General features: G+C 48.0%; 6 annotated features.

The window, feature by feature from the left end:
* Positions 4124-5051: an enhancer, noted in NCBI's record as "H3K27ac-H3K4me1 hESC enhancer chr6:158183423-158184350 (GRCh37/hg19 assembly coordinates)". NCBI's record gives its function as "activates a minimal SCP1, AML or CMV promoter by ChIP-STARR-seq in naive H9 embryonic stem cells {active_cell/tissue: H9 hESC(naive)}" and the evidence as "EXISTENCE:reporter gene assay evidence [ECO:0000049][PMID:30033119]".
* Positions 4124-5794: a biological region, named in NCBI's record as "P300/CBP strongly-dependent group 1 enhancer GRCh37_chr6:158183852-158185051".
* Positions 4553-5752: an enhancer, noted in NCBI's record as "P300/CBP strongly-dependent group 1 enhancer chr6:158183852-158185051 (GRCh37/hg19 assembly coordinates)". NCBI's record gives its function as "activates an origin of replication core promoter dependent on BRD2, BRD4, P300/CBP, MED14 and CDK7 cofactors, with strong dependence on P300/CBP, by STARR-seq in HCT116 cells {active_cell/tissue: HCT116}" and the evidence as "EXISTENCE:reporter gene assay evidence [ECO:0000049][PMID:35650434]".
* Positions 5325-5394: an enhancer, noted in NCBI's record as "active region_25337". NCBI's record gives its function as "activates an Ori minimal core promoter by ATAC-STARR-seq in GM12878 lymphoblastoid cells {active_cell/tissue: GM12878}" and the evidence as "EXISTENCE:reporter gene assay evidence [ECO:0000049][PMID:35858748]".
* Positions 5685-5794: a silencer, noted in NCBI's record as "silent region_17726". NCBI's record gives its function as "represses an Ori minimal core promoter by ATAC-STARR-seq in GM12878 lymphoblastoid cells {active_cell/tissue: GM12878}" and the evidence as "EXISTENCE:reporter gene assay evidence [ECO:0000049][PMID:35858748]".
* Positions 6285-6334: an enhancer, noted in NCBI's record as "active region_25338". NCBI's record gives its function as "activates an Ori minimal core promoter by ATAC-STARR-seq in GM12878 lymphoblastoid cells {active_cell/tissue: GM12878}" and the evidence as "EXISTENCE:reporter gene assay evidence [ECO:0000049][PMID:35858748]".

Genomic DNA, 6950 nt, shown 5'->3' on the forward strand with positions numbered 1-6950 from the left:
AGAAAAGAAAGAAAAAAGAAGCAGATGAGGCCAGGTCACCTAAAAGGCCTTTTCTACCATGCCAAGGAGGCTAGATGTTACATGGAATGCTATGAGGGTCTTTGGGAGAATATTATACAGGGAAATGGCAATATCATAAATGTGATTTCAGAAATATCATTACTCTAGCAGCATGGAGAATGGATTCGAGAGCGGCAAGTCTGGGGATAGGAGAGCAGTGAGGAGCTTCCCGATGATCCCAGAGCAAAATGACAAGGGCCTGGGGAAAAGACACTCTTGGTGGGGGCAGAGGAAGGGGAGGCTTCCGGAGTTGGGCAGGAAGAAGAACAGATCAAATCTACCAACTAAACAATGGTAAGTGGGAGAGGTCAGGGGTAAGGATGACTGAAGGCTCTGGCTGGGGTCACTGGGCACATGGTGACACCATGTCCCCTGGATAAGCCCCATGAGGGTGGGACTGTGGCTGAGTCACAGCTGTATGGTCAGCACGTGTAGTGACTAGCAGGTAATGGGTGTCTGAGAAGTATTTATGGGGTGAACGCTAGCATGGATGCCTGCGTGAGCAAGACAGGTAGGGATGATGGAACCTGTTGAGTAGGAGACGCCTGAGAGATGGTCACAGGAAGCTGTGCAGCAGGAAGTTGCACAGATGAGACCTGAGTTCAACAGGGAGACCTGAACTGAAGGCAGGGATCTGGGAAGCAGCGGCATTCACGTTCCCAGTGAGGACAGTGGAAGAAGACCTCAGGTCCTGAAAAACACCAACAGCTGAAGGGCCAGCAGAGGAACCTGTGCCCTCAGAGAAGGTTTAAAATCATAGCAAGGAACAATGATGGTGTTGAGAGTTTCAAAAGACAGGAGTCTCTGGGAGGCCAAGTAGAATAAGGAGTGAAATTTACCTATTGAATTTGGCAACCTGGACGTCAGAAGTCACACGGCCCTGGCTGGTAGGAATTCTGAGTCATGCAGGCTGCGGGCAGGGGACCATGACATCTAGCTGAAGCCATGCAAAGATGGGGCCTGAGAGCCAAACCAGGCTGTGACATGCTAGAGCTGGCCCTGATGGGCCCAGGAGCACTCATGGTTAAATTTTCAGGAAATTTGCAAGCTGGTTGTTAAACACAGCCATTATTAAAAATTAAATGGGTCAGGCGCAGTGGTTTATGCCTGTAATCCCAACACTTTGGGAGGCTGAGGCTGGTGGATCACTTGAGGTCAGGAGTTTGAGGTCAGCATGGCCAATATGGTGAAACCCTGTCTCTAGTAAAAATACAAAAATTAGCTGGGCATGGTGGCGGGCGCCTGTAGTCCCAGCTACTCAAGAGGCTGAGGTGTGAGCTTTGAGTCCAGGTGGTTGAGGCTGAAGTGAGCCATGATCATGCCACTGCACTCTAGCCTGGGCAACAGAGGGAGACCCTGTCTCCAAATAAATATAGAAATAAATAAGAAAAATAAATAAAAGTTTAATGATATAAACTTACAAATTGAATAGATTATACTAAAAACAAAAGTAATAAACACTTAAAGCTCATCACTTCCTAGTGATCTACACTTTACTATTACCTATGCCATCAAAGTTTGTTTTTTTTGTTTGTTTGTTTGTTTTTTGTTTTCTTTTTTAGATGGAGTCTTGCTGTGTTTCCCAGCTGGAGTACAGTGGTGTGAACTTGGCTCACTGCAACTTCCACCTCCCAGGTTCAAGCAATTCCCCTGCCTCAGCCTCCCGAGTAGCTGGGACTACAGGCGTGCACCACCACACTGGCTAATTTTTTTTATCTTTTTTTCAGTAGAGATGGGGTTTCACCATGTTGGCCAGGATGGTCTCAATCTCCTGACCTCGTGATCTGCCCACCTTGGCCTCCCAAAATGCTGGGATTACAGGCGTGAGCCACCACGCCCGGGCCATCAAGGTTATTTACATCTGCGTGTCTGAGTGGAGGAAGCATTATATAACCCTGTTCTGCTGCACATCTCTTTCCACCTCTGCGTTCAGTGACTTCTTACTGACAGCTGGAAATTGGCCATGGGGGCAGTATTTACACCACAGAAATTGGCAAATGTACATTTCAGGACTCTTCTTCCAGAGAGCCTGTTGTGCACATTTACTAGCACACCATTAAAACCAGGCCACAGGGTGTCACCATCCACATTTCTCCCCCAGAGAGTGTCCAAAGGTTCAAATCGCAAAGTAGGGAGCTCAAGTCTGAGCCAGAGTGGCCTCTATCTCAATCAGTCTGGTGAGGCTGGTATAGCAGAGCTGGGGTGACAGCCAAGCGTTTAGACAAGGACAGTTCTTAGCCTCAGGAGATGCCAGTGTCACAGCTTCAGATAGCTCTCTGTCCAGGTGCAGGTGCAGGACCAGCCAGTGAGGGTACAGAGGATATGGGGACTGGGAGGAAGTAGTTTCCGGTTGCCTGACCTGACATTCAGGGCTGGATTTGAGGCCCAGAAGAAATCTAGGATCAGGGCAGACGCCAGCTGGTGGCCTGGTCACCTACACTGGCCTGGGTGGGGACAGGGAGTTGCACAGACTGACTCCCTTCCTACTCCCTCATGGAGAAGGGTCTTCAACACCTTTGCAGGTCCTTCCCATTGCCCCAGGCCTGGCTGATGCAAGCAGGTAGGGAGCGAGAGGGCAGGCTGGGGAAGGCAGTGTCTGGCAACACAGCCGGGGGAAAAGAGATTTATTTTACAACAACAACAAGAAGACTAATAAAAATAATTTTGAAAAAATCTGATGGATAACATGAATCACCCTCGTATGAATCACTAGTTACACTTGGTGGTGTACCAAGGAGAAGGAGAGAGCTGTGGGAGTCAGGGTGCATTGTCTGCAGAGAATTTAAAAATAGGAAGAAAAACACTGCAGTGGTCTGCTTTCTATTATCGCCATGTGTGGCGATTGTAAACAATGGCAGACCCACCCCCACACCACTGGTTACACCCCAGACATGCATTTTTGCCTGTGTTCTAGGTAATCAGTTGATTGTATTAGAACAGCTGACACATTCTTCTTTAGTTCCTTTTTGTGGCATTAGTTTCATAGAATCACTTATTTTGGGGGAATTGGAGGCATGTCTTGTTTTTCCATTCAGACAACAACATGTATCAAGCGGTCTATGATGTGCTGTCTGTCAGTTGCACTTGGAGTTCAAGAGCATTCTTAAAGACGCAATTTGTGTTTTGGAAAAATGGGTAGAGAGCCTTGTTTTGTGTGTGCGGTCAAATAAGTCAGAAGTTGGTTATGAGTCACCACTCTCCTGCTAGTCTAGCATTGTACCCTGCACAGCAAAAAGGGGTTGTAAGCATTAAAAGGGGGCTTTTGAAAAAGCACAGGATATGGAAAGGCGGCCTAGAAGCAAGTTCTGGTGCACGTGAACCGTGTGACCTCAGAAGCCGCATCCCACTGAGCTGTTCTGAGCCTCGGTTTCTCCATTGGTAGAATGGGGCTAATAGTACCTGACCAGCTGTTCCCAGGCTACCGCCAAGGGCCCGTGGAAGCAGGTGCAGGAAGGGATGACGCACACGTGAGCTCTTAAGACAGCTTCAGTTCCTCAGGATTCAAGAAGGGGGAAGGAGAGCCCAGGGCCAGCACATCTGGGGAGGTTCAATATAGATTTAGGTCTGGAATTTCCATTTTCACTGCAGATATGTTGTGCTGAGAAAAGTTCGAGGGCATCAGAATGAAAATTGGAACTTGAGAAACTGGATGAACGTCGCAGCAGGAAGGGAGCCGGGCTGGAGCTCTCTGGAGTGGGGCGCACCGCAGGGAGCACGGCCAGAAGATGGGAGAGGTCACAGGTGGGGCCGTGCCTCTCACAAGCTCAGGGTGCCCTGTGGGGCCGGGAGGGGCAGAGTACAAGCTCAGGGTGCCCTGTGGGGCCGGGAGGGGCAGAGTAGGTCTAGAAGCCGCTCTGGGGGCAGTGCCCCCACCATCACCTGCCAACTGGCAGATCTGATTGTAGCCAGAAGCCTCTTCTCTTTTCACTGGGTTCGTTGCAGTTTTCAAGCGTGCAGTTCCTTCTATGAAGGAAGGTGGTAGAAAGCCTATGAATCCCACCAAAGCTTCCAAAGCAGATGGCCCTGTGGCCTATTTCTGGTTCATTGCTGTAGGGGAGGAAAGATAATTTTTTCTTCGGCTCTCATAAATTCTTAGTTGGAATGTACCCCTGTAACAAAAGACAGGTTAACAGGAGAAAAACAAAAAGAAGTTTAGTATCATGTATATTTAATATGCACATGGAACAAACAGAAGTTTAGTATCATGTGTATTTAATATGCACATGGAAGATACCAGGGAGAGATGCCTTTGAATTCCAGCTTAGACAGTATCTTCAACAAAGAACAGCTAATATTTAGAGAAGTGACAAGGAAAAGGAAAAGGAAAAGGACTCTGAAGAGTGTCCCGGAGCCCGCTGTGGCTAGGGAGGATGCAGTGGGGGTTGGGGGAAGTATTTTTTAAAATATTTTAAAAATAAAAGCAGAAAAGGATTTCGAGTCTCTAGGGGGCAGCAACTTGGGGAGAAGCAAACAACTGGCAGAGGAAGGCTGCTCGGTGAGGCTTGCCCATGTGGGTTCCTCCAGTACCATCTCCAGGCTGACAGGGTTTGAAATTGTCTTCCGTGGTTAACCTTTGTTCTCCCTGGTGGAAGGGGGACAGGACACCTTTTGTCTTTGTGCCCCGCTTTAGGCAAATAGAGCGAGGGCAGAGAGCTCTCCTGCATCTGCTTTTTAATGGCCTTCAGCTCAACAATCCTTATGCATATTTGGGGGTTGCATATTCTCCTCTTCCAAGCTACACAGATTATACGTCTCAATGTAAAACACGATCTTTTTCTTCATTACCTAGAAAGTGAGGGAAGTCACGCCCAGAGGGTGCTGATGTAGGCCTGGTGATGAGGGTATAGGTGGCCACCGTCCCAGGTGGGCTCCACCTCTGCCCTCTGTGATGTGGAGTAGGGGCTGGGGCTCCTTGGGTACAAGGCAGGGAAAAGGGGAGGGCGGCGGGGTTGAGGAAGCTGCTCCGGGCTTCCAGGCCAGACCATCCCAGAATGAAAGGAGTTTTCCCCATGGATCTCCAGGCCTTCTCCATGGAATTTAGACAGCTGAAGGCAGACACAGGTCCCTGCGGGGAAGTACCTGCTCCCTCTTCTAACAAGTGCAAAGCAAGCAGGGCAAGGCTCCGAAGGGAACAGCTGGAGCAGGCCCAACCCCAGGTGGCCCTGGGGTTCCGTGGTTGACCCGGAAGCAAGTCAGGCAGGGAGCCAGGAATGTGGTGACTCACATTAGCTATGTGGAGAGAGACCAGGGAGTGTCCCTTCCAGGTGGAACCCCTCCTCCTCCATGAGTCACCCGGCTCCATACACCTGCCTGATTCCAGCAGCCCAACACACCTGTGCCAACTAGCAGCTTATGTTTCTCATGTGCTTGCCTGTCTGTCCTATTGACGATTCCTCAAAACACCAAGGGGAGGTAGCATGAAATGTTATCCTGGAAAACCTTTGTGAGTTAGAAAACGTGGCCAAGTGCCCCCAGTTGATGACTGGCAAATCTAGAATCAGCCTCATGACGTTTCCAGTGTGTTACACAAACCATCCAGCCTTGCTGCTTCTCCAAATACTGTATCTATGAAGTATGCCAGACTCTCAGCAGAGAGGATTTCTACGGCAGTGGAAGAGAGCAAAGCAGGTGTCAAGGTTCATTAATCTCATCTTGGTCCCTTTCTGAAAACTGACACACTATATCCAGGTTGCTTTTTAAAGCTCTGTGTACGTATCATGCAAATGTATACTTGCTTTGTGTATGCATGTTTAGGACTATTTCTGATCCAGATGCTGTACTAAATTAAGCTAGTTTTAATGATGTTATTCTGGAGCTAACATAGTCTTCCGTGGTATTTCCCATGGCTGTGCTCTGTCTAGTATATTTCCAAGTCATTACCCGGCTCATGGTCATTGGCGTTCACATTGAAGTGGCCACAGATAGAGAATCACACAAGCTTCACATTGAATTCAGTCCATTAAGGCCTTTTCCTTGGTAAAACTGAGGGGGAAATATAAATTGAAGCAGCAGTAACCAGCAAATAGACCTTCTCCCAATCTACCCGAAACTGGCTCTCTGCCCTCAACCATGTTCAAAAGCCTTTGCTATAAATGTACAGAGGAAGTAAACTTTAACCACACTGGGGCTCTAAAAAATGACTCTGGTTTCTGTATGTGACTTTCATAAATCAGTTTAATTACGTCACATTTCCACCTCAATTGTATGATAACAAGGTCTGAATTGCCCAGTAGAAGGCAGAAAGAAAAAAAATCCGGATGTTTTTGTCATATGGAACCTTCCTACACAGTCTGTTTTTCCCCTGGAGCTGACGATGAATCACTTCTCAACACTGGCGGGGGCCATCACGTGGCCGGCATGGAGCTCGCCTGGAGGAGCGAGGTTGAGGCAAGCTCTGTGCAGGAATGTGGCTGCAGTGATGTGGCCTGACACTTCCTTAGGGAGTCCAAATGTGACTAAGGCTCTTTCTCAGTACTGTATGGAATGAATAACCACATGTGAGAAGATGTACAGCTCCTGCCTTGCATCACTGAGCTGGAAAATTTGCTGGTAGCACGTAACATCTCTTGCAAAGTATAATTACAGATCCCTGTGCTCTGAGGGTTTGCACGGAAATAATTCAACCTAAAATAGTAACAAAGGCTGAGTATAAACCTGTGATGTATTATTTTGGTGCAAAAGTAACTGCGGTTTTTACCATTACTTTTAATGGCAAAGATTGCAATTACTTTTGTGCCAACCTAATAGATTATCTAAAAAGGAACAGGAAGAACACCAAGAGTTAACAAGCCTATTAGGGTTAGAAAGAGACTCCTCTTGCTTAGACAATGGGCGTTACCCTCAGGGACACCGAGCCCTTCCACTCGGATCTGATCTCCTCCACAAAGAGT

Source organism: Homo sapiens, chromosome 6 (genome assembly GCF_000001405.40).
Source record: "Homo sapiens chromosome 6, GRCh38.p14 Primary Assembly".
NCBI lineage: Eukaryota > Metazoa > Chordata > Mammalia > Primates > Hominidae > Homo > Homo sapiens.